Source organism: Homo sapiens, chromosome 11, assembly GCF_000001405.40.
Source record: "Homo sapiens chromosome 11, GRCh38.p14 Primary Assembly".
Classification (NCBI taxonomy): Eukaryota; Metazoa; Chordata; class Mammalia; order Primates; family Hominidae; genus Homo; species Homo sapiens.
In genome coordinates this window covers 47,841,880-47,868,661 of record NC_000011.10, presented here as the reverse complement: position 1 = coordinate 47,868,661, position 26,782 = coordinate 47,841,880, and the positions used below count along the sequence as shown (strand labels likewise).

The 26,782-nt window shown below is 44.9% G+C and overlaps 1 protein-coding gene across 3 annotated transcripts in view, besides 5 other annotated features; it reads left to right on the top strand.

The window, feature by feature from the left end:
* Positions 5,433 to 5,482: an enhancer, noted in NCBI's record as "active region_4708". NCBI's record gives its function as "activates an Ori minimal core promoter by ATAC-STARR-seq in GM12878 lymphoblastoid cells {active_cell/tissue: GM12878}" and the evidence as "EXISTENCE:reporter gene assay evidence [ECO:0000049][PMID:35858748]".
* Positions 6,868 to 6,937: an enhancer, noted in NCBI's record as "active region_4707". NCBI's record gives its function as "activates an Ori minimal core promoter by ATAC-STARR-seq in GM12878 lymphoblastoid cells {active_cell/tissue: GM12878}" and the evidence as "EXISTENCE:reporter gene assay evidence [ECO:0000049][PMID:35858748]".
* Positions 18,223 to 18,272: an enhancer, noted in NCBI's record as "active region_4706". NCBI's record gives its function as "activates an Ori minimal core promoter by ATAC-STARR-seq in GM12878 lymphoblastoid cells {active_cell/tissue: GM12878}" and the evidence as "EXISTENCE:reporter gene assay evidence [ECO:0000049][PMID:35858748]".
* Positions 18,303 to 18,352: an enhancer, noted in NCBI's record as "active region_4705". NCBI's record gives its function as "activates an Ori minimal core promoter by ATAC-STARR-seq in GM12878 lymphoblastoid cells {active_cell/tissue: GM12878}" and the evidence as "EXISTENCE:reporter gene assay evidence [ECO:0000049][PMID:35858748]".
* Positions 19,815 to 20,374: an enhancer, noted in NCBI's record as "active region_4704". NCBI's record gives its function as "activates an Ori minimal core promoter by ATAC-STARR-seq in GM12878 lymphoblastoid cells {active_cell/tissue: GM12878}" and the evidence as "EXISTENCE:reporter gene assay evidence [ECO:0000049][PMID:35858748]".
* Positions 20,118 to 26,782, top strand: part of NUP160 (nucleoporin 160) — a 70,427-nt gene continuing 63,762 nt past the window's right edge. For 2 of the 3 annotated variants that reach the window (NR_134636.3, NM_015231.3), the window contains exons 1-2: positions 20,312 to 20,443; positions 20,703 to 20,814. Coding sequence is in view for 2 of the 3 variants with exons in the window: in NM_015231.3 (NP_056046.2) it covers positions 20,344 to 20,443; positions 20,703 to 20,814 (212 nt within the window). In the remaining variant the exon portion in view is untranslated. Of the gene's footprint in view, positions 20,444 to 20,702; positions 20,815 to 26,782 lie in introns of all 3 variants that reach the window. The other variant, NM_001318399.1, reaches the window with a different exon arrangement.

Here is a 26,782-nt window from a genome sequence, read left to right as displayed (position 1 = left end):
GACGGAGTTTCCCTCTTGTTGCCCAGGCTGGAGTGCATAGGCGTGATCTCAACTCACCGCAACCTCTGCCTGCCAGGTTCAAGCGATTCTCCTGCCTCAGCCTCCTGAGTAGCTGGGATTATAGGTATGTGCCACCACACCCAGCTAATTTTGTATTTTTATAGAGATGGGGTTTCTCCATGTTGGTCAGGCTGGTCTCAAACTCCCGACCTCAGGTGATCCACCTGCCTCGGCCTCCCAAAATACTGTGATTACAGGCTTTAGCCACTGCACCCCAGCTTTTTTTTTTTTTTTTTTTTTTTTTTTTTTTTTGAGAAAGGGTCTGGCTCTATCATCCAGGCTGGAGTGCAGTGACTCAATCTCGGCTCATTGCAACCTCTGCCTCCTGGGCTTCCATCCTCCCACCTCAGCCTCCCAAGTAGCTGGGACTACAGGACCACCACACCTGGCTAATTTTTCTATCTTTTGTAGAGAACGGGGTCTTGCCATGTTGTCCAGGCTGATCTCAAAGGGATTATAGTCATGAGCCATGGTGCCCGGTCAATAACATCTTTCTCAAAGCACAGTGATGAATTTCATGGACCTTCCTTATAATACCAAGGCACAAGTTAGCAGAAGCATTTCTGCCAGAGGCTGGAAAAAGTGACTAATCTCCTCTGACACTACCAGGGAATAAAGGATGAATAGAATGATTTCCGAGGAAATGCTATGGGGGCCTTAGAGAAGAGGAATGAGAAAAGTGTGTGGTGACAGCTATCCAAACTTTTGAGGTCCTATAAAATGCCAAACACCATTCAGGATTTGATCAAATCTATTATTTGAAGCTATGGTGACCAAAGAACCTATCTGTTTAACTCAATTATCTGAATTCCCCAGCCATTCCCTAACCCTTGTCCTTGTTTGACCTTTTTGTCCCCACAAAGAAGAATGGGGGCTGGGTGCAGTGGCTCACACCTGTAATCCCAGCACTTTGGGAGGCCGAGGCAGGTGAATCACTTGAGCTCAGGGGTTCGAGACCAGCCTGGGCAACATGGCGAAACCCCATCTCTACAAAAAATATGAAAATTAGCCAGGTGTGGTGGTGCATGCCTGTAGCCCCAGCTACTCAGGAGACTGAGGTAGAAGGATGGCTTGAGCCTGAGAGGCATAGGTTGCAGTGAGCTGAGATTGCACCACCACACTTCAGCCTGGGCAACAGAGCAAGACCCTGCCTCAAAAAAAAAAAAAAGAGGGCAGGGCACGGTGGCTCATGCTGTAATCCCCCCAATACTTTGAGAGGTCAAGGTGGGCGGATCACAAGATCAAGAGATCAAGACCATCCTGGCCAACATGGCGAAACCCCATCTCTACTAACAATACAAAAATTAGCTGGGCATGGTGGCATATGCCTGTAGTCCCAGCTATTCAGGAGGCTGAGGCAGGAGAATCACTTGAAGCTGGGAGGTGGAGGTTGCATTGAGCCGAGATTGCACCACTGCACTCCAGCCTGGCAACAGAGCGAGACTCCGTCTCAAAAAAAAGAAGAAGAATTTGGAAGGAGGAAGACAGTCTTGGGAAAGGCTGAGAGACAGTCCCAGGAGGGCATGTAAAAGAGGGTTGAATAGGATGTGAACGAGCACTCAAAGAAGGCCTCATTTAAATGGAGCCAGATGAACTTCTGTAGGTTCTTTGACCCCATACTGACTTTAGCTTTTTTTTTTTTTTTTTTTGACGCAGTCTTGCTCTATAGCCCAGGTTGAAGTGGCACAATCTCGGCTCACTGCAACCTCTGCCTCCCAGGTTCAGGCGATTCTCCTGCCTCAAGCTCCCAAGTAGCTAGGATTACAGTTGCACGCCACCACATTCAGCTAATTTCTGTATTTGTAGTAGAGACGGGGTTTCACCATGCTGGCCAGGCTGGTCTTGAACTCATGGCCTCAAGTGGAATATTCTGTGAGTTTTGACATGTATCTACCATCATAGCATCATACAGAGTAGTTTCACTCTAAAAAATTCTGTGTTCTGTTTCACTCTCGAAAATTCTCTCTCCAACCTACCCCTGCGTGCTTTTAGCTTTTAAGAAAATTCTGGGCTGAGCGCAGTGGCTCACGCCTGTAATCCAAGCACTTTGGGAGGCCGAGGTGGGTTGATCACGAGGTCAGGAGATCAAGACCATCCTGACCAACATGGTGAAACCCTGTCTCTACTAAAATACAAAAAATTAGCCAAGCCTGGTGGCACACGCCTATAGTCCCAGCTACTCGAGAGGCTGAGGCAGGGAAATCCCTTGAACCCGGGAGGCAGAGGTTGCAGTGAGCCGAGATCGCACCACTGCACTCCAGCCTGGGCAACAAGAGCGAGACTCCATCTCAAAAAAAAAAAAAAGGAAAAAGAAAATTCCGGCCAGGCACGGTGTCTCATGCCTGTAATCCCAGCACTTTGGGAGGCTGAGACAGGTGGATCACCTGAGGTCAGGAGTTCGAGAGCAGTCTGACAAACATGGAGAAACCCTGTCTCTACTAAAAATACAAAATTAGCCAGGGGTGGTGGTGCATGCCTGTAATCCTAGCTACTAGGGAGGCTGAGGTGGGAGAATCGCTTGAACCCGGGAGGCGGAGGTTGCAGTGAGCTGAGATCACGCCACTGCACTCCAGCCTGGGCAACAAGAATGAAACTCTGTCTCAAAAAAAAAAAGAAAATTCTGTTGAGTCAGTTCTACATACAAGGACATTGCCTGGCAAGGATGGCAGTATTGGACATTAGATTTCCTTTCTTCACTACCAAGTTTTGCATAGTATCTCTTTGATTAAAATCTAATTTAGCTTCTTCCTATCAGGGCCCATCAGTTTAAATCTCATGATATAACCCAGGAGATGGATAAATTGTCTCCAACTAGAGAAAAAAAATTCAGCTTAGCTGAATAACTAAATTTACATAAATAAAACTCAGCTATTGTGGACATTATTTAATTGATGTTAATTTGAAGTTATACAGTGTTTTCTTTTTCTTTTCCTTTTTTTCTTCTTTTTTGAGGCAGAGTCTCACTGTTGTTGCCCAGACTGGAGTGCAGTGGCGTGATCTCAGCTCACTGCAACCTCCGCCTCCCAGGTTCAAGTGATTCTCCTGCCTCAGCCTTCTGAGTAGCTGAGATTACAGGCGCCCACCACCACACCCAGCTAATTTTTGTATTTTTAATAGAGATGGGGTTTCACCATGTTGGCCAGGTTGGTCTCAAACTCCTGACCTCGGGTGATCCGCCTGCCTTGGCATCCCAAAGTGCTGGGGTTACAAGCATGATCCATCACGACTGGCCTACAGTGTTTTCATTCTGAAGCTCAAAAAAATCAGCATGTAATCAGCACATGAATTTTCATAATTGTCCTGTTAAGTGCACAAAGGGAGATCCAAATGAATCCAAGAAAACAGGGCTCACATGTTTCTACACATTAGAAGGGAATGGAGAAGGGAACAGGGTAAGGACGAGAATGAAAGCTAAAAAATGTCGGCAAATGTTAATAATGAAAACTTTAAACCCTGAAAAAGGAAGGATAATAATAGCTTTCTCTGAGTCAGCTTTCAATCTGCACAGAATATCATCGCTAACAGGGATCTAAACTTACCAAAAAAAAAAAAAAAAGGCGGAGGGGAAGAGAAAGAATTTTTTTCTAACTTCCCTTTTGTAGATTAATTACCAATTTATTCACCAGTTGGTGATTTGGCATCATTTCGAGTCAAAACAAATGCTTTTGTGTAGACTAAAGTTCACTGGTAAATTTAAACTAAAAATAAGATTTTCAAAAGTATTTTTAAACCGAATTTAGAAATTTAAAACATTTTTAAGACTTTCAAAAACTGTATGTTACTAAAAGTAACATTGACCCTTGATATTTATCTGAGGAATTCTCTGGAGGAAAAAAAGGATTTCATCCTGGAGATAAATTGGGCCAACTCATCTGTAGTCTTTGGTTTAATTAGCTAAACTCTTCCAGATGGAGAACATTTGAAGCAAAGGAATATTTCTGAGCCCCCTGGAAGTGTTAATAAACACAATAATATGTTACATGTAAAAGAAAATGTGCCCTTTATCTTTGAGGAAGTGTTTGGTAGCATTATAATTTTCAGTTTGACTATTGAAGAAAAAAGCTCTCATTTTATTCAACATTCAACAAACAAATACTGAGTGCTTGCTTTTCGCCAGTGCTAAACACCAAGACAGGACAGGACCCCTGCCTTTATGGAATCTCACAATTCCACCAGAATTTGCACTCCCACCAGAATTTGCCTGGCACATAGTAGCAGCTGGGTAAGTATTTGTCGAATACGTGAGTGAATGATACAGACACTTGAATAAGGAATTGTATTCGTAAAGATTTGAACAAATTACTATGGTCAGAGGGAAGCATGGGGGCCTCAAGCTGTCAGAGAAGGCTTTGCAAAGGAGTTTGTCAGATAGGAGCAGGAAAGACTTGCAGACACAGAAAATGGCACTTGCAAAGTCAGGGAGAGAAGAAACAGTAACATATATTTAGGCAACAGCTAGTAATTTGTGTGGTTGGAGAGTAATGTGTATAAGGAATGTGCCCAGAAGGTAGTAAGACCACAAAGATGGGTTGGGGCTTATTTGAGGAGGACCCTGAAAACCTGCTAAGGTTAGACTTGACCCTTTAGTATGTGTTGGTGTTTTAGAAAGATAACTCGAGACATAGTATTAGAGGATACACAGAAGGAGAGAAGGAAGGAAAAGATACCAAGGGTTAAGTGCCATGTTTGTGCCCATCCCTAGGCTAGATCCTCTATGTATTTATATTAAACTCATTTAATCCTTGCAATACTCCCATTGGTTACCTAATATTGTCCTTATTTTCAGCGGGAAACATTCAGAGAAATTATGCAATTTCCCCCAGACCATACAGTTAATAAAAGATGGGACTAGGATTTGAAACCAGGGTTCTAAAAAAATCTTGTTGGAGAATAAAAATACCAATGGACTCATACAAATTAGTATTAGGGAAAATAAACAGTAGAAGACTGGAGAAAGTGAATATTAAGAAAGACACACATGTAAGACGCAAGGGGAAAAAAGCATGACTATACAAAAGGATATTTACAGTAAGGAGATACAACACAGGAAGTGGAAAGATAATCACAGAAAAACCACAACATGTGTTTTTAAAATGCAAAGCCCCTGGGAAGAGAAAGCAAATGATACAATAATGCCATTCACTCTGGCATCCTGTGCATTTGGTTTTGCTCTTTACTCTTTTTTTTTAACTTTAAACAATTTGTTATGAGAGTAACAAAGATACGGCTTATGATCTTGTAACTCTAATGCTCTAAATCAGAAACAGATGGTGCCTAGTGTACCCTGTTTCCTAGAAACTGCAGAACTTTGAGGACAACACCCTCTCTGCACTGCACCACTGATTTCAGTTCCTTCACAGATACTAATACATGGCTAAATAACGTGGTTGCTGAGTATTGTATTGGAATATCTGTTTTCCTTGCTCGGGAATCTTTTTGAAGTTTAAAACTTTTCTCCATTTTTATTCCTTTTTCTGATTCAAAAAGTAATTCCTTTTTATTGTGACAATTTTTAAAAATATGGAACAAAGAAAAAAATAAAAATCCCCATTCCCTTCCCACCCAGCAATAACCAACGACCACTGTTAACATGTTGACAACATTCTTCTAGTTATTTTTCTGCACACACAAACACACTTCATAGAAAACTGAATGTATAGAAATTGTTTTCTAATTGTTTTGTTCACTGAGCAATAAATACTTTACATTTTTTCACATCATCAAATGTTTATGATAATTGCCAGTATTCCATCATATTGGAGAAGTTAATTTATTTATCTTCCCACTTTTTCATTCAACAAATTCTTTTATTTTTTTTTGAGACGAGTCTCGCTCTGTGGCCCATGCTGGAGTGTAGTGGCATGATCTCGACTCACTGCAACTTCTGCCTCCTAGGTTCAAGCGATTCTCCTGCCTCAGCCTCCCAAGTAGCTGGGATTACAGGCATGCACCACCACGCCCAGCTAATTTTTGTACTTTTAGTAGAGACGGGGTTTCACCATGTTGGCCAACTGGTCTCAAACTCTTAACCTCAGGTGATCCACCCGCCTCGGCCTCTTAAAGTGCTGGGATTACAGGCGTGAGCCACCATGCCTGACCCTCTTTCAACAAATTCTAATTAACACCTACTATTTGTCAGAAATGTGCTCAGCACTGGATACACAGTGGTGAGCAAAGCAGGCAAAGATCTTGCCCCCATGGAGTTTAAAGTCCTCTATTGACCTATAGTTTGCTTGAGAACTTTTTTTATTTTAAAAAAATAGCACAGTGAGGCTGGGCGCCGTGGCTCAAACCTGTAATCCCAGCACTTTGGGAGGCCGAGGCAGGCGGATCACAAGGTCAGGAGTTCGAGACCAGCCTGGCCAACATGGTGAAACCCTGTCTCTACTAAAAATACAAAAATTAGCCAGGTGTGGTGGCACACACCTTTAATCCCAGCTACTCAGGACGTTGAGGCAGAAGAATCGCTGGAACCCAGGAGGCAGAGGTTGCAGTGAGCTGAGATCGCACCACTGCACTCCAGCCTGGGTGACAGACTGAGTGAGACTCCGCCTCAAAAAAAAAAAAGCTCAGTGAAATCTGGCAAACACTACCTCAGCTAAGTGACTAAGCTTAACATAATCAGCGAAAAGTCACGCAGACAGCATGTACCCCTGCTGCTGTGCTGGGACAAGAATGGCACTTTACCTCTGTGGTCTTCCTCTCATAACCCTAATCTAATCATGATTTTTTAAGAGAAAAATCAGACAAAAGACATTCTACAAAATACTTGTTCAGTACTTCTCAAAACTGTCAAGGGGAATTCCTGACTAGCTTGGGCAACATAGAGAGATTCCATCTCTACAAAACATTTAAAAATTAGCCAGGCATGGTGGCATGTGCCTGTAGTCCCAGCTACCCAGGAGGCTGAGGCGGGAGGATCACTTGAGCCTGGGAGATTGAGGCTGCAGTGAGCTATGATCATGCCACTGCACTCCAGTCTGAGCGACAGAATGAGACCTTGTCTCTTAAAATTGGGGGAAAAAAAGTATGGATTTTAGTTAATAATACTGTATCAATATTGGTTTATTAGTTTGGGCATGGTGGCTCATGCCTGTAATCCCAGCACCTTGGGAAGCTGAGGTGGGCAGATCACTTGAGGTCAAGAATTCAAGACCAGCCTGGCCAAAATGGTGAAACCCCATCTCTACTAAAAATACAAAAACTAGCCAGGCATGGTGGCAGGCATCTGTAATCCCAGCTATTCTGGAGACTGAGGCAGGAGAATTGCTTGAATCAGGGAGGTGGAGATTGCACTGAGCCGAGATCAGGCCACTGCACTCCAGCCTGGGTGACAGAGCGAGACTCTGTCTCAAAAATATATATATATATGTATTGGTTCATTAGTTGTGACCAATGTTTCATACTGTTACAGATAGGAAAGGGGTCCCGATCCAGACCCCAAGAGAGGGTTCTTGGATCTCACACAAGAAAGACTTCAGGGTGAGTCCGCAGTGCAAAGCAAAAACAAGTGTATTAGGAAAGTAAAGTGGTGAAAGGACAGCTACTCCATAGACAGAGTAGGATGTTCCCAAAAGTAAGAGGAGGAACGCATCCACCCTAGGTACAAAGCTTGTATATATGGGGAGATGTGCTCTGCTACAAGGGTTTGTGATAAAGGATTAAGTTTTTTTAATTACTATATTTTTCAAAAATCAATATTATTATCTTTAAAGCAAAATTAGGAATGCCTTTGTTCTCCAGATATCGGGATATCTGGACACTCCCAAGTCTGGGTCTGTTCAGTAAGCATTATTAATTTGTCCCCTTAGCCGTAAACATCTAGAGGTTAGGAATGCCTAACTTTCTGAGAATGTAGCTCAGCAAGTCCTGGCCTCATTTTTCCAGCCCTCACTCAAAATGGAGTCGCTCTGTTTCGAACGCCTCTGACAATACTAACATAAACTGTTAACAATAGGGGAGCTGGGGAGAGAGAATAGATGGAGTATACGGGAAATCTCTGTACTACCTTTACAATTTCTTTGTAAATCTAAACCTATTCTAAAATTAAATGTTTATTTTGGGAAAAAAAGCAAACACTGTGACAGTCATCCTTGTTTTTTGTTTGTTTTTGAGTCTCGCTCTGTTGCCCAGGCTGGAGTGTAGTGGCGCGATTTCAGCTCATTGCAACCTCCGCCTCCCAGGTTTAAGCGATTCTCCTGCCTCAGCCTCCTGAGCAGCTGGGATCACAGGCACGTGCCACCACACCCGGCTAATTTTTTTGTATTTTTAGTAGAGACAGGGTTTCACCATGTTGGCCAGCCTAGTCTCGAACTCCTGACCTCAGGTGATCCACCCGCCTTGGCCTCCCAAAGTGCTGGGATTATAGGCATGAGCCACCACGCCCGTCAATCCTTGTATCTTGAAGCATATCTGTGATTGTTTCCTTAGGATAAAACTCTGAGTGAAATTGCTGAGTCAACTGTACTGTACACATATTTTTATCCACTAGAGATTGTTCTTTTGAAATGTTATAGATGTTTTTCTGACTTTTTAAAGATGTTTATACCTATACCTTTATCTTAGCATTTTCCTAGTTGTGAACCAGGAAACCTAAGAGATCATGAAGCCCAGAGGCCTCATTTTACAGATGAGGAAACTGAGGCCCAGAGAAATGAAGTGACTTGCCAAGGCCAAGTGGTTAGTTAACAGTGGGAACTGGAACCCCTATTTGTGTCAACAGCAATCCCTACTGAACTGTCCCGGGGTTTGGCCAAATGAAGTAAAATTTTCTGGCTCATGGTGGAATCAGTGATCAACAGCCAGACCTGCATCTTTCTATTTCCTGTAGGTAAATACAAGGGTTTGCTTCCTTTGTTTTGGATATGGTTGCTAGGAGCTAAAAGCATTTTAAAATGTTTAAAGAATGGATTCAGACACAACTAATAGAATTGCCTGACTAAATGCCTGGGCAAATCACTTTTTCTTTTTGAGGTACTCCTTTCTTTTTTTTTTTTTTTTTTGAGACAGAGTCTCACTCTGTCGCCCAGGCTGGAGTGCAGTGGCATGATCTCAGCTCATTGCAACCTCCGCCTCCCGGGTTCAAGCAATTCTCCTGACTCAGCTTACTAAGTAGCTGGGATTACAGGCACACACCACTACACCTGGCTAATTTTTGTATTTTTAGTAGAGACTGGGTTTCACCATGTTGGTCAGGCTGGTCTTGAACTCCTGACCTCATGATCCACCCGCCTTGGCCTCCCAAAGTGCTGGGATTACAAGGGTGAGCCCCCGCACCTGGCCTTTTTTTTTTTTTTTTTTTTTTGAGTCAGAGTCTTGCTTTGTCACCCAGGCTGGAGTGCAGTGGCATGATCTTGGCTCACTGTAACCTCCATCTCCCAGATTCAAGAGATTCTCCTGCCTCAGCCTCCCAAGTAGCTGGGATTACAGGTGCCTGCCATCACACCCGGCTATTTTTTGTATTTTTAGTAGAGACGGGGTTTCACCATTTTGGCCAGGCTGGTCTCAAACTCCTGACCTCAAATGATCCACCCACCTCAGCCTCCCAAAGTGCTGGGATTACGGTGAGCTACTGCTTTCTAATCAGAAAATTCAGAATTCCAATGCCTCCTTTTAGTCTTCTGACAGGCACCTAGGAAAAATCAAGTAGTTAGTGCAGATAGATCTGAGGAAACCTTAGAAATATCATTTAAGGAGGCCGGGCACGGTGGCTCATGCCTGTAATCCCAGCATTTGGGGAGCCCAAGGTCGGGGGGATCACCTGAGGTCAGGAGTTGGAGACTAGCCTGGCCAACATGGTGAAACCCTGCCTCTACTAAAAACACAAAAATTAGCCAGGCATGGTGGTGGACGCCTGTAATCCCAGCTACTCGGGAGGCTGAGGCAGGAGAATCGCTTGAACCTGGGAGGCAGAGGTTGCAGTGAGCTGAGATCATGCCACTGCACTCCAGCCTAGGTGACAGAGCAAGACTCTGTCTCAAAAAAAAGAAAAGAAATATCATTTAAGGAAAAGGCATTTGAATGAGAACAAAGGGCACATTTTCTGTTAAGTGGTCTGTGGTATCCCAAGAAAGTTCATTTCCTTGCCCCTGTGGTCTTTAGACAAGGAAAATCCCAGACTTGGCATTAGTAAGGAAGAAGAGGGCGATGGAAAGGAAAGGAGAGAATTGTTAGACTTCTTGGCTGGAATTCAGAAACAAATAGTTCCAGAGCCTGGCATTGTCGAGGCCAGCGTCAGGACCAGCCCAAGGAGGCAGACAAGGAATATTACCGTTACTGACTTGGCTCCACATACCGTTACTCAAGAGAAACTGGTGCGTAAGCAAGATCCTGGAGGATGCGAGAGAAATATAAACAATCACTGGGTGTGGACCTGTGGCTGCCCATAGAGGCTTTGCCAGCTCTGAAATTGTAGTCACACATTTTGACTAATTTAATTGCCAGAAATTCTTGCAAGATTTGGGCAGTGACAAATGCAAGCCAAAACAAGACTAAAGTCTGGGGGTTTGGAAAAGCATTGGCCTCTGACCTCAAACTGGAGCCTCTCATCAAAGTTCTAACCCCTATTCGGGTCACTGAGCATCCTTGCTCTGAGACGTGGAAGTGACTTATTTTATTTGCCTATAAACATCTTTCGGCACCTGCACCAAATTGAAACTTGGCAGGCAAAATGAGGAAGGAGTGATACTTCTAAAAACTCATCCTATTTTTATGATTTGAAGCTTTTTATTCTTTGTAGGGGTAGCACAGGAGAAGGATATTAAAAAAAAAAACTCTCAGGAGCAGATGAAAAGAGAAAAGAATGAAACAGACTGCAAAAATCTCTCAACTGATATTTATTGCCATCATTATTTTGCAGAGAAAGACATAAAGACGTGAGCACATTGATTGGCATTGCCCATGATCATGCAGCAACAAAGGAAGTGATAGCCCTGAGGTTTTAAGACAGAACCGAATGAGAAGGGAGGGTTTGAAGTGGGTGCAACTTCAAGATGGTCTAGATATAGGTGAGAATCTCTACTCAAATATCTGAATTTCTAGCCTCTTAATTGTATTGTACACTTTTATATTAAAAAGCACTTCTGAGGCCAGGCACAGTGGCTCACACCTGTAATGCCAGCACTTTGGGAGGCCGAGGCAGGCAGATCACTTGAGGTCAGGAGTTCAAGACCAGCCTGACCAACATGGTAAAACTCTGTCTTTACTAAAAATACAAAACAATGAGCCAGCCGTGGTGGTGCGAGCCTGTAATCCCAGCTACTTGGGAGGCTGAGGCAGGAGAATCACTTGAACCTGGGAGGCAGAGGTTGCAGCGAGCCTTGATCATGCCACTGCACTCCACCCTGGGTAACAGAGTAAGACCCTGTCTAAAAAAAAAAGCACTTTTGGACTCTATACATGCAAATAACCCTTTTTACTGGATCAACTTTTGATCTTGATTTTTTTTTTTTTTAAACAGGGTCTCTGTTGCCCAGTAATGTGATCTCAGCTAGCTCACTGCAGCCTCAACCTCCCTGGGCTCAGGTCATCCTCCCTCCCACCTCAGCCTCCAGAGTAGCTGATACTACAGGCATGTACCACCACACCTGGCTAATTTTTGTACTTTATGTAGAGATGGGGTTTCGCCATGTTGCCCAGGCTTGTCTCAAACTCCTGTGCCCGCCTCGAGTTCGAGACCAGCCTGGCTAACATGGCGAGACCATGCTTGGCCCACCTTGTTTTTTAAGACTAATATTGGCCAGGCGCGGTGGCTCACGCCTGTAATCCCAGCATTTTGGGAGGCCAAGGCAGGTGGATCACCTGAGGTCAGGAGTTCAAGACCAGCCTCGCCAACATGGTGAAACCCTGTCTCTACTAAAAATACAAAAATTCGCTGGGCGTGGTGGTGAGCACCTGTAATCCTAGCTACTCGGGAGGCTGAGGCAGGACAATGCTTGAACCCAAAAGACAGAGGCTGCAGTGAGTGGAGATGGTGCCACTTCACTCCAGCCTGGGCAACAGAGTGAGACTCTATCTTAAAAAAGAAAAAAAAAAGACTAATATTAAACATATTTTACTGAGATGAACTTAACTGCCCCTACTGAGGCTACCTGCACATCTGGTTCTTTGTTGATGCCTCCAATTCCACCACTAGAGTTTAATCCCTTTGAATGAGATGGTAAGTGGAGTATATAGATAACGTGCCAATTCCAGTCAGCTGATAGCTCTCTGAATCACTCTGTTGAAAATGATACCGAGGCAGTAGAAAAGGACTCCCACAACTGATTAGCAAGAGAGGGAGGAGGGGCAATGCCCTACCAGTTAAGGTAGTGTATGTTGCCATGACTTACCTCTGGGAAAGGCAATTTATGAAGTTTTTATAGTCATCAGCACCTCAGTGTGAATTACTATAATGTCAACTCATTTCCAGTTATACCAGAGCTAGTTTTAATAGGTAAGGCATTCATATTTTCAGAAGTAAAACTCAGAACATATGGTTCAAGCGAGGATTTTTTTTTTTTTTTTTGAGATGGAGTCTTGCTTTGTCGCCCAGGCTGGAGTGCAGTGGTGCCACCTTGGCTCATTATGGCACCACTGCAACCTCCACCACCCAGGTTCAAGCAATTCTCCTGCCTCAGCCTCCCTAGTAGCTGGGATTACAGGTGCATGCCATCATGCCTGGCTAATTTTTTTTATATTTTTAGTAGACGTGGGGTTTCACCATGTTGGCTAGGCTGGTCTTGAACTCCTGACCTCAAGTGATCTGTCGCCTCAGCCTCCCAAACTGCTGGGATTACAGGCGTGAGCCACCTCGCCCACCTTAGCAAGAGTTTGTTTTGATTTTGTGAATTAAATTACATGTAAGCTCCTACAAAGATACAGAAGTAACATTTAACTAATCATATAATGAATCATAATTGAAATTTACAGAAAATTGGCTGGGCACAGTGGCTTACGCCTGTAATCCCAGCACTTTGGGAGGCCAAGGTGGGGGATCACTTGAGGCCGGGAGTTCGAGACCAGCCTGGCCAACATGGCGAAACCCTATCTCTACTAAAAATACAAAAATGTTGTTAGAGGTACACGCCTGAAATCCCAGCTACTAGGAGGATGAGGCATGAGAATTGCTTGAACCTGGGAGGTGGAGGTTGCAATGAACCAAGATTGCACCTTATACTCCAGCCTGTGTGACAGAGTAAGACTCTGTCTCAAAAAATTTAAAAAAAAATTTTTAAAAGGCCAGGCATGGTCGCTCACACCTGTAATTCCAATACTTTGGGAGGCCGAGATGGGAGGATCACCTGAGGTCAGGAGTTTGAGACCAGCCTGGCCAACATGGTGAAACCCCGTCTCTACTAAAAATATAAAAATTAGCTGGGCGTGGTGGTGCACGCCTGTAGTCCCAGCTACTTGGGAGGCTGAAGCAGGAGAATCACTTGAACCTGGGAGGCGGAGGTTGCAGTGAGCAGAGATCAGGCCACTACACTCCAACCTGGGCGACAGAGTGACACCCTGTCTCAGAAAAAAAAAAAAAAAGTAAAAAAAGAGAAATTTATAGAAAATATTACCTGAAAGGTGAAAACAATCCAGGGTGTATAGTTCCCAAGGATAAGTCCAAAGCACAGGAGGGTCAAGTCTAGGTGGGAGCCCTGGGCTTTCAGGGCCCCTCAAAGGCCCTGGAGTCTAAAGTCATGGTGGTTTCCTAAGTGGGTAGAAAGAATACTGAAAACGGAATTGAGAAGTCACTGACATACTTCATTTATTCCACAATTCTGCTTTTTTTTTTAGAAACAGAGTCTCGTTCTGTCACCCAGGCTGGAGTGCAGCGGCACAGTCATAGCTCATTATAACCTTGAACTTCTGGGCTCAAGGGATCCTCCTGCCCCAGCCTCCCAAGTAGCTGAAACTACAGGTGTACACTACCATACTTGGATAATTTTTTTTTTTTTTGTAGAGATGGAGTCTCACTATGTTGCCCAGGGTGGTCTCAAACTCCTGGGCTCAACCAATCCTCCTGCTTCAGCCTCCCAAAATGCTGGGATTGTAGGTGTGAGCCACCATGCCCAGCTGATATTTTTAACCTATGGGCAAAATGAAAGTAAAGCCATGTTTTCCAAAATATATTCTCAAAGAACAATGGTCCAATGAGTTGCCCCTTGAAAAGAGTATTCTGTATGTCAAAGAGTCTGGAAAGCAGTATCATGCATAAGGCCTTCTTGGAACTTCACAAAGCTATTATATTAATGTCTTTGAAAAGTTCTTCAAGAAAGAAATATGTTTAACTTTATTTATCATCATTTCCCACACTTGTTTAAACCACCAAATTCTTCTTTCAAGGAGTAGCTATCAAGTTGGTTATGAAAATCTGCTTAAAGTTCAATTAACAGTATTGTTCAGCTGAGCGCAGTGGCTCACACCTGTAATCCCAGCACTTTGGGAGGCCAAAGTGGGTGGATCACGAGGTCAGGAGTTCAAGACCAGCCTGGCCAAGATGGTGAAACCCTGTTTCTACTAAAAATAAAACAATTAGCCGGGCGTGGTGTCGGGCACCTGTAATCCCAGGTACTCAGGAGGCTGAGGCAGGATAATCACTTGAACTCAGCAGGCAGAGATTGCAGTCAGCTGAGATCATGCCCCACTGCACTCTAGCCCGGGCAACAGAGCGAAACTCCGTCTCAAAAAAAAAAAAATAAAGAAAAAGTCCGGGCGTGGTGGCTCACGCCTTCGGGAATCCCAGCACTTTGGGAGGCCGAGGCGGGCGGATCACGAGGTCGGATGTTCAAGACCAGCCTCACCAACATGGTGAAACCCCATCTCTACTAAAAGTACAAAAATTAGCCAGGTGTGGTGGTGCGTGCCTGGAATCCCAGCTACTCAGGAGACTGAGGCAGGAGAATCGCTTGAACCTGGGAAGTAGAGGTTGCAGTGAGCAGAGATCGCGCCACTTCACTCCAGTGTGAGCAACAGAGCGAGACTCCATCTGAAAAAAAAAAAAAGTATTTAAATAAAACTTGCTGCACAATATTGGTAACATTCTGCATTTTGTTTCTAAACGAAGTCACTACCTAACCACTAGATGGCAATATGATTCAATTTATGTTATAACCATCCCCCAGAACATTAATAGTTCAAAGGGTATTTGAGTTTTCCAAAAATGCATATATGCACTTATTCATTCATTTAATTATTCCTCAAACATTTATTAGGTAACGTGAAGTTCCCGGAATTCTGATGGATGTTGGAGATAAGACAGTGATCTAAAGCTAAAAAGTGTTCACTGTCAAAAAATGTAATTCCTAGATTCCTATAAAACCGAAACATGCCTCATCAATTTAACATTTTTTTCTGAGAAAAAAATGAAAAAACATTACTACATTAAATATGTACATTGAGGCCGGGCGCGGTGGCTCATGCCTGTAATCCTAGCACTTTGGGAGGCTGAGACGGGTGGATCACTTGAGGTCAGGAGTTCGAGACCAGCCTGGCCAACATGGTAAAACCCCACCTCTACTTGAACCCAGGAGCTGGAGGTTGCAGTGAGCCAAGATTGAGCCACTGCACTCCAGCCTGGGCGACAGAGTGAGATTCTGTCTCAAAATTAATTAATTAATTAATTTAATTTAATAAAAATAAAAATAGCAATCATGTATTTAGCTCATTAATATGCAATTTGGACAGGGCTCAGTGGTCATGACTCATCTGTGCTCTACAAAATATCTGGGACCTGGGGACTTACCAGGCATCTCTCACTTCAAGTAGAATTAGAGTCTCTGTGTGTGGTCTCTCCCTGCAATCTGCCTAGGATGGCCCCGGCGTAGCCAAATTTCTTACATGGCAGCTTGCTTCCCCTATAGCCAGTCTTCAAAGAGAGATGTAGACTCTCTTAAGCTAGGCTGGCACAGCATCACTTTTGCTGTATTATATTCCTTATAGCAGTTACAGAACCCTCCAGATTTAAGGGGAGGGGACAAAGAAGGCTACACTTCTGGATGGGAACAATGTCAAAGAATTTGTGGCCATCTTTCTTTTGCCATATGGATATATGAGATTTGGGTGTTGGGATTAAAAGAGAAAAGTCCAGGGTAATTACTAGATTTCTAGACTGGGCCACAGTGGTGATGTCCACACAGATATAGACTACATGTGAGAGTATATAGTGAGACTATATAGAGAGGGGTAACATTTTGGATATGTTGAATTTGAGATGTCCATGGGAAATCCAAGGGGCATCAAGGAGGCAACTGAATATAAAAGGCTGAGAACTCGGCAAAAGAGGTCTGACCTCTAGATATGAAAGTGGAAATAATCAGTCTTCGGAATAGTTCTCTCTACTGTGGCACATCAGTGTCATGAGCAGTTATAACTTAGATAACCAGGAATTTGTAAATAATAACAGTTGAAGTGTGGCCAGGCGCGGTGACTCACACCTGTAATCCCAGCACTTTGTGAGGCCGAGGCAGGCAGATCATGAGGTCAGGAGATTGAGACCATCCTGGCTAACACTGTGAAACCTCATCTCTACTAAACATACAAAAAAAATAAGCCAGGCGTAGTGGCAAGCACCTGTAATCCCAGCTACTCAGGAGGCTGAGCAACTGGAACAGTGCTGGTAACTGCGATGGGGAAAGTAAGTGTGGGGAGAGAGGTTAGGACTTCAGTTTCAGACATGTTACATCTAAGATACAAAATAGGCCGTTGAATATATAAACCTGGACTTCGGGGGAGAAGCTTAGACTGGAGGTATACATTTGGGGATGATCGGCATATAACAATGCAGTATTTAAAGCCAGAAGACTGGGTGAGATTCTCAGGGGAGTGTTTGTAGATGGAAAGGACCAAGAACTGAACTCTGGACACTCCAACATCAAGAGGTTGGGGAAAAGAGGAGCATCTAGGAAAGGAGTCTGAAAAGGAACAGTTAGTGAAATAGGTAGAATCAAGAGAGTGGCGTCCTTGATGCCACATGAAGAATGTGTTTCCACGAGGAAGGAGCAAGCAATTGGTCAAATTCTACAAGTAGTCAAATAAGCTTAGAAATAACAGTTCAGGCCAGGTGCTGTGGCTCACGCCTGTAATCCCAGCACTTTGGGAGGCAGAGGTAGGAGGATCGCTTGAGGCCTGGAGTTTGAGACCAGCCTGGGCAACATAGGAAGACCTTGTCTCTACAAAAAATAAAAAATAAAAAATTTGGCAGGGCATGGTGGCACAAGCCTGTGGCCCCAGCTACTCGAGAGGCTGAGGCAGGAGGATCACCTCAGCCCAGGAGTTTGAGGCTGCAATGAGCTGGGATCACATCACTGCACCCCAGCCTGGATAACAGAGCAAGATTATGTGTCAGAAAAAAGAAATAGCAGTTTAGTATTAGACAGATAATGTGGATGCCATTGATAACCCGGAAAAAAGCAGTTTCAGCAAGGCAGTAGAAGCAAAAGCCTGAAAAACATGGATTTAATGAGGCCAGATGCAGTGGCTCACGCCTGTAATCCCAGCACTTTGGGAGGCCGAGGCAAGTGGATCACTTGAGGTAAGGAGTTCGAGACCAGCCTGACCAACATGGTGAAACCCTGTCTCTACTAAAAATACAAAAAACATTACCCAGGCAGGGCAGCGCATGCCTGTAATCACAGCTACTTGGGAGGCTGAGGCAGGAGAATCTCTTGAACCCAGGAGGCGGAGGTTGCAGTGAGCCGAGATTGTGCCATTGCACTCCAGCCTGGCCAACAATAGCGAAACTCCATCTCAATAAAATATATATATATATATATATATATATATATATATATATATATATATATATATGAGAATGAGAGAGAAGGAATTAAAACACTCTTGAGTTTTGCTGTGGGTGAGAGGAGAAGAGATATGGAGTAGTAGCTGCAGAGAGTGGAGGTCGAGGGAATGTTTGTATGCTTAGTACATACAGTACTAAGAGAAAAGGGGAAAAGACTGAAAATGGAAATAATTGAATTGCTAGAATGATGTCCTTGAGCAGGTGTTCTAAGGAAGTAGAAAGGTTGTCTCTGCATAAGCTCAGAGACAGTTTATAGTAACAGGAAGGGAAGGCAAAATATGTGGTTACAGATGCTGGTAGGTGGGGAGATGTCATTATAGAGGAAGTCCTCCCTTCCTCCTTCCTTCTTTCCAGATGGGTGTCTTTCTGGCCATGCTGGAGCACAGTGGCAGGATTGTAGCTCACTGTATCCTCCAACTCCTGGGCTCAAGAAACCTCCTATAGCTGGGACTACAGAGGCACACAACTATGCCTGGCTAGTTTTTTAAAAATTTTTATTAGAGATGGGGGTATGTTGCCCAGGCTTGTCTTGAACTCCTGGCCTCAAGCCATCCTTCCATCTCAGCCTCTGCTTTAATTTTCTAAATGAAGAAGCAAGCTGAGAGTCAGGATGACAAAGGAGGCAATGGAGGTTATAGGAGTTATGAAATATTCATTTAGAACAGTAAATGGAGAAGGCAAATACAATGTGTTTGCTGGGCAGCATTATGGGCCCACTCAAGGTACATGGTCCTGATGGAGTTACAGGGAGGCATGTCAGTATGGGTGTATAGTTTTCTGTTTTCTTTCTTTTCTTTTTTTGAGACGGAGTTTCGCTCTTGTTGCCCAGGCTGGAGTGCAACGGCGAGATCTTGGCTCACTGTAACCTCCACCTTCCGGGTTCAAGCGATTCTCCTGCCTCAGCTTCCCAAGTAGCCGGGATTACATGAGCGCACCATCATGCCCAGCTAATTTTTCTTTTTTTCTTTCTTCTTTTTTTTTTTTTTTTTGAGACAGTCTCGCTTTGTCACCCAGGCTGGAGTGCAGTGGCGCGATCTTGGCTCGCTGCAACCTCCACCTCCCAGGTTCAAGCGATTCTCCTGCCTCAGCCTCCCGAGTAGCTGGGATTACAGGCGTGCACCACCATGCCCGGCTAATTTTTTGTATCTTTAATAGAGACAGGGTTTCACCATGTTGGCCAGGTTGGTCTGAAACTCCTTACCTCGTGATCCACCCACCTCTGCCTCCCAGAGCGCTGGGATTACAGGCGTGAGCCACCGCGCCCGGCTAATTTTTCTATTTTTGGTAGAGACCGGGTTTCACCATGTTGGCCAGGCTGGTCTCGGACTCCTGACCTCAAGTGATCCTCACGCCTTGGCCTCCCAAAATGCTGGGAGCCACGCCCGACCCGGGTGTATAGTTTTCTCCAGTCATGTTCAGCTACAGATTTGAATGTAGTCGAAGTTGTAGTTTTTACCGATGAAGAGTTAGGCAATGAAGTAATTTAATGGTATTCAGGATAAGAAAGAAACACCAAAGAAGTGTGGGACAGTGAAGATTTTGTAGAACAATGGATTCCAGGTAGAATGAGGGGACTGCACTGCCAAAGTTGGTGTCCCAGAGGGAGTGAAGTGGAAAGATAGAAAATGATGGTCGGAACCAGATAAATGAAACGGAGAATGACAGGGAATGGTTGTGGTCACTGGTAATAGAAGTGCTTTAACTTCTATTGGCTATCACTAAGGAACAAAACCTTCCCCGCTGGAGATTAGCATTTTCCTCGATTTTGAACATCTACTCCCACAATATCTTCTAAACACCCACTATGGGCCCTTACTGCATTGACAGCCAAGTGCAAGATCACGGGTGGAAGGAATGGCAAATTCCTTTCACGTATCCAAGTGAGTAGCACTCAGGTAACCTCAGCAAGTGGCAGCACCAAGGTTTACCACATTACGTTTCATTATACAGGAATACACGAATACAGTCTCTTGGGGAGGGGAAAGACCAAAACCAAAGGCCTTTCCCTCACTACCCCTTCCTCACCCCGCCATCCCAAGTGTCGCCACTGAAGAGCGAAGGGAGGATCGCCAAAGATTTACAGACGGACACCCTAACCGAGGGAGAGGTGACCATAAACCCGGGATCCGGCAGAGGACGCCGAAAGGCCGGGACTCCCCGGACCTCGCCCCTCCTGGTCGACTGAGCCCCGCGTTTTAGAAACAGAAACAAACCCGGCCCCGCCCCCTGCCCTGCGGCCGCTGAGAAAAGAGCACCGCCCTCCGGAGGCGTTCCAGCCGGCCACTGGAAGGTTCCCGCAGATAGAGTCTGCCTCCCCTGCCCCCTTCTCTTCTGGATTCCTCGCTGCCCACCCTCATTCTCCCGGTGGAAGCCTCGCAACGAAGGGCCGGAGCCGCCTTTCTGCTCCCGGAATGCTTCACCTGTCCGCAGCTCCGCCCGCCCCACCCCCGGAAGTGACGGCGACCGCGCGGCCCTGCCTTTGTTCCGTTGGGCGTCGCGGCGACGGCGGGAAGATGGCGGCGGCGGGAGCCCTGGAACGGAGCTTCGTGGAGCTAAGCGGAGCTGAGCGCGAAAGGCCGAGGCACTTTCGGGAATTCACAGTCTGCAGCATTGGTACGGAAATGGCCAGGGAGGGTGCGATCCCATCTGTCCCCTCGGGCTCCTCTCATGGGTCCCAGGGTCCCTGACGCCCTGTTTCATCCTCCTGAGTCCACATGCCTCTAGCCCCGGGATCAGAGATTCCTTGATGTCCGACGTTTTCCTCTTTTCTTTGTATGGGTTGTCAGTCTGTCACTCTCTGCTTTGTCAGCTCCCTTAGTCCCTGTCATTTCTCAGAAGACGCGTGTGCAGGCTGACCACGTTCATTTTGCAGGGACTGCAAATGCCGTGGCTGGCGCCGTAAAATACAGTGAAAGCGCGGGAGGCTTTTACTACGTGGAGAGTGGCAAGTTGTTCTCCGTAACCAGAAACAGGTTCATTCATTGGTAAGTGTTGTGGTTCGCCAAACTCCCCTGGAAGGTAGGGTTTGGTGTATAAATTTTCGTCGCTGTACCCAAAGTGCTATTCTAGAAGCGGTAATTGACACTTAGGGAAAGAGAAAGATTGTTTTTTCAGTTCGTATCAGAATCGGGAAAACTGAGACACAGAGTTCTAGAAGAGATACCTCTCCCCCTCCCCCCCCCCACCCCCACACACACATACACCAAGCAACACCAGAAGCAGAGGAAATGTAGCTTAGGGGAATAAAGCCCATAAGACCAATTTTAAACATGAACCCGTTATGTTTTTATAGTGCTTTACAGCTTCCTTCATTGTACAAATACGTTCGAGCTTCAATATGTCAGGCATTGTGCTAGGTACCAGGACGAAATGAACAAAACTGCAATTTTCATCATGCAAGACGTTGTAGCAATGTCAGAATAGATGTAGACCCACTTTTCATGGGGAAATTTTTTGGAGGAAAACTTGCCCTAGAGGAAAAATATACGGGTTATGAGAGGCTAATAAGAGGACCAAATATAATTAGTGGGGCAGGGAAAGGCTTTAAGGAATTCACAGTTACCCTGAGATCTAAAGGACACGAGGTTAGCCAGGCATGGGGAGTGGACAGAGAGGAGTCCAGCAAGTAGGATCACCATATGCAAAGGTCATGAAGTGGAAAGAATGTGGCGGGTTTGGAACTGACCAAAGATCTGTGTGGCTTAAGTGCAGTGGGTAAAACAGAAAGTGATGTGAGATACTGAGGCTGGAGAGGTAGGCAGGACTCGGACCATGAGGGACCCTTAGGCCATTTTTAAGGATTTTTGGATTTTATCCTAAGTACATTGAGTAATAATTGAAAGATTTTTAAAGAGTTACTAACATCAAAATTGCATTTTTGGATGGGAACAGTTAACACTAGGGATTCCAAAAGGAGGGAGGGAGGGGAGCAAAGGTTGGAAAACCTATCGGATACTGTGTTCACAACTTGGGCGGCAGGATCATCAGAAGCCCAAACCTCATGTATATAGGAATATACACACAATATACTCATGTAACAAACCTGCACATGTACCCCTGAATCTAAATTTTTTTAAATGTATTTTTAGAAGATCTCAGTCTACTTTGTGGAAAGTGGATTTGGATTAGATGGGTATAATACAAAAAAAATTTTGCTTTTATCATGGCCCAAGTAAGGGTTGCTGGTGGCTCAATTGTGGGAATGACTAGAAATAGAAAAGTAGATGGATTCAAGATACCTTTGGAAGATAGATTCACTAGGGCTTGGTGGTGGATTGAATATGGGGTAAGGGATGGTAAAAGAAGAGAGAACAAGGACAGCTCCCTGGTGTCTCATGTGACTAACCAGATGTGAGTGGGGAGGGGTTGCCATTTACAGAGATACCCGGAAGATGGATTTTGGATAGATATGAATAATTCTATTGGACATAGTAAATTTGAAGTACCTGGGGAGCAGCCCTTTGGAAATGTCAAGTAGGCATTGAAGTTTACAGGTCTAAGGCTCAAAAGAGTGACTTTATGTTAGAGATACAAATTTCATTTAATTAAATATTTTGGCTGGGCACAGTGGCTCACACCTGTAATCCCAGCACTTTGGGGGGCTGAGGTGGGAGGATCTCTTGAGGCCGGGAGTTCAAGACCCCATTTCTACAAAAAAAATTTTTTTTTCTTTCTGCTTTTTTTTTTTTTTCTTTTTGAGAGACAGTCTGGCTCCATTGTCCAGGCTGGAGTGCATTGGTGCAATTATGGCTTACTGCAGTCTCCGCCTCCTGGGTTCAAGTGACCCTCCCACCTCAGCCTCCCAAGTAGCTGGAATTACAAGTATGCACCACCATGCCCAGCTAATTTTTCTATTTGTTTTTGTAGAGATGGGGTTTTGCCTTGTTGTCCAGACTGGTCTTGAACTGCCAGACTCAAGCAGTGCCCCGTTCTCGGCCTCCCAACTTGCTAGGATTACAGGCGTAAGCCACCGTGTCCAGCCTGATTTTTTAAAATAAGCCAGGCGGAGTAGCGTGTGCCTTTCATCTTAACTACTCAGGAGGCTGAGGTGGGAGGATCCGATCATGCCACTGCACTCCAGGTGGGAAAAAGGGTAAGACCCCATCTCTTTTAAGAAAACAGGAAGAAAGAAAGAAAATTTGCTTGCCTAATGTATTTCAGTCCGTTTTTAGGGAACAGGGATATAGCAGGGAACAAAACAAAGTCCCTACTCTTATGGAGGAAGATAGGCAACAACAACAATAACCAAAAAACCCCAAGTACATGCAGTTTTGTTACAGGAAAAGGGTGCCGATCCAGACCCCAAGGGAGGGTTCTTGGATCTCGCACAAGAAAGAATTCAGGGCAAGTCCGCAGTGCATAGTGAAAGCAAGTTTATTAAGAAAGTAAAGGAAGCCAGGCATGGTGGCTCACACCTGTAATCCCAGTACTTTAGGAGGCCGAGGCAGGTGGATCACCTGAGGTCAGGAGTTCGAGACCAGCCTGACCAACATGGTGAAACCGTGTCTCTACTAAAAATACAAAATTAGCTGGGCATGATGGCACATGCCTATAATCCCAGCTACTTGGGAGGCTGAGGCAGGAGAATAGCTTGAACCCAGGAGGTGGAGGGTGCAGTGAGCTGAGATCACACCATTGCACTCCAGCCTGGGCAACAAGAGCAAAACTGCATCTCAAAAAAAAATGTAAATAAAAGAATGGCTACTCCATAGACAGAGTAGCTCCGAGGGCTGCTGGTTGCCCATTTTTATGGTTATTTCTTGATGATATGCTAAACAGGGGTGGATTATTCATGCCCCCACTTTTTAGACTCCTGATGTAACTTCCTGATGTTGCCATGGCATTTGTAAACTGTCATGGCGTTGATGGGAGTGTAGCAGTGAGGACAACTGGAGGTCACCCTTGTCGCCATTTTGGTTTTGGTGGGTTTTGGCTTGCTCCTTTATTGCAACCTGTTTTATCAGCAAGGTCTTTATGACCTGTATTTTGTGCTGACCTCCTATCTCATCCTGTGACTTAGAATGCCTTAACTGTCTGGGAATGCATCCCAGTAGGTTTCAGTCTTGTTTTACCCAACTCCTATTCAAGATGGAGTTGTTCTGGTTCACATGCCTCTGACAGTTTGTCAGTTGATTAATGGAATAGGAAAAAGGGAACAGCATAAGAGGGAAGAGGAATACCTGTGGGAGTTAATGTTTTATGTAGGGTGGTTGGGCAAGAGCCAGGGGTAAGCTGACATTTGAGCAGAAGAAAGGATATCTGGGGAATGAGTATTTCAGGTGGAGCCTTCCAAGAAAAAGGAATAAAAAGTGCAAAGAACCCTGAAACAGGAGCCTGTTGTGTTCAAAGAGTGGAAAGGAGCCAGGAGTCTGCAGCTGAGTGAACAAAGGGTAGAATAATAAGAAAGAGATAGTTGAGGGCCAGATCAGGGCTTTGTTGGTTATTTTAAGCTTTGGCTTTTGCTCTGAGTAAGATGAGAAGAAGCTGTGGAAGGTTAAAGTGGAGGAATGACGTGATCTAAGATCTGGGCTTCTAAAGGATTGCTTTGACTGCTGTCTTGAGAATAGAGCGTGGTGGGGGAAAGGGTAGGTGCAGGGAGACCAGTTAGGAGGCTGGTGCCACAATTCACACATGATGGTGGCTTAGATCAGGGTGGTAGTGACAGAGGCAGTGAGAAATGTTGTGATTGTGGATATGTTTTCAAGGTGAATTTGTTAGAATTACTGTTGCATTGGATGGGGAGTATACAGAAAGAAAAGAGTCACAGGTGAGCCCTAGATTTTTGGCTTGAGCAATTGGAAGTTAGGGAGATGTCATTAATTGCGATGGAAAAACGTATAGGTGAAGCAGGTACTTTTGTTTTCTTCAGGTTCAGTGAGTCCAGGAGTTCTGTTTTGGACAGGTGTAATCTGAGATGCCTGATAGATATCCAAGTGAGTGTTGAGACAGTAGTCAGGAGTTGAGTGGAGAAGTTGGGCTAAAGATACAGATTGTGAAATTGTTGGCATTAGATCGTGCTTAAAGCTGTTCTACTGAATGAGATCACCTAGAAAGTGAGAATAAATTAGGATTTTTCACCTTCTGCACTATTATTGTCAGCTAAGTCTTCATTGTGGAAGGCTGTCCTGTATGCTATAGGGTGTTAAGCAGCATTCCTGGCTTCTACCCTCTGCATAGCAATAGCACATCTATACCGCCACTTCTACCCTAGTTACAATAACCAACAATATCTCTAGATATTGCTTAATATCCTGGTGAATGAGGAAGAATCGCCCCCAGTTGAGAGCCACTTGAGTAGAGCAGTCTGGGACTGAACCCTGGGGCACACCAACATTTAGAAAAATGACGAACCAACAAAGGAGCCCAAGAAGGAGTAACTGAAGTGAGAGTTGAACAAAGAACGTGGCATCCCAGAAGCTAAGGGAAATGTTTCAAGGAGGAGGAGAGTGAAAACCTGTCAGTGTTGCATTTAAGCCAGGCAAGATGAGAAACGAAAATTGGCCTTTGGATCATGGAGGTCATTGATGACCTGGTCAGGAATTGCTGCAGTAGTCGTACAAAAGCCTCAGTGGAGTGGGTTCAAGAGGGAAAGGGAGGAGAGGAATTGTGAGTATAGAATAGCCCTTCCAAGGTGTATTGCTATAAGGGAAGCAGAGAAATCACATGGTAACCAGAGAGCAAGGGAGGAACAGAGAAAATATAATAATATATCTATGTGCAGTTGGGAATGACCTAGTAGATGCAGTTGAGAGCAATCACTAGAGGAAAGGAATTTGGGGAACTGAGAAGGTAGAGTGTTAGGATAATTGGATATTGTTTATTCATTTGTTTGTTTGTTTTTTTTTAGAGTCAGAGTTTCACTCTGTCACCCAGGCTGGAGTAAAATAGCACAGTCATGGCCTACTGCAGCCCGAACTCCTAGGCTCAATCGATCCTCCCATCTCAGCCTCCCAAGTGGCTGAGATTACAGGCGGGCATCACCATGCCTGGCTAATTTTTTTATTTTGTAGAGATAGGGTTTTGCTGTGTTGCCCAGGCTGATCTCGTACTCCTGGGCTGAAGAAATCCTCCTGTCTTGGCCTCCCAAAATGCTGGGATCATAGGCATGAGCTATTGTACCTGGCCCTGATACTGAAATCATTAAGAATTATGGTGAGAGTAGTGTGGGAGAGAGTGACAGTGGGCCAGGAGCTAAAATCAACTGCAGTGAGCATGGGTAGCAGGTGGTATCTGATTCCATGAGCTTCAGAGCTGAGTGATTCGGGTAGCAGAGGAGGAACAGTGGCCTAGAATGCCAGTGGGGAACAAGGACATCTGTATGTTTTCCTTGAGGCCCCACCCCAAAGGGCATGGTAGAGAAAACTCTGGGGTCACTGTCCTCACGGGAGATCCAGGATCCAACTTTAACCGTAAGGCAGGAAAGCGAAGGAATTATTCAGAGATGAGGTTGAGGATCCAGAAAATTGTGCTGATGCCGTGAGTTACCAGAAGCAAAGTAGCTCTGGGAAATCATCAGCGCTGAAAAGGTACTTACATCCTTGGGAGTAGATAAGATGTGCCTTGGGAGAAAGTGTACAGTGAGAGAAGATGGTCCAGGATCAAGGTTTGAGGAAATCTAGCATATAGGGGTCAGGTCAAGGAGAAGGGGAAGAAATGGACAGGAATGTGGGAGGAAAACTGGGAGAGGGTAGTATCATAGGATTCATGAGAAGAGACTGTTTAAAAAGGAAGGCAAGGTCACATATGTGGAATGCTGCTAAGAGATCAAGTAAGAGGGCCAGGCATGGTGGCTAACACCTGTAATCATGTGGAATGCTGCTAAGAGTCAAGTAAGAGGGCCAGGTGTGGTGGCTCACACCTGTAATCCCAGCACTTTGGGAGGCCGAGGCAGGTAGCACTTTGGGAGGCTTGAGGCCAGGAGTTCAAGATCAGCCTGGCCAACATGGTGAAACC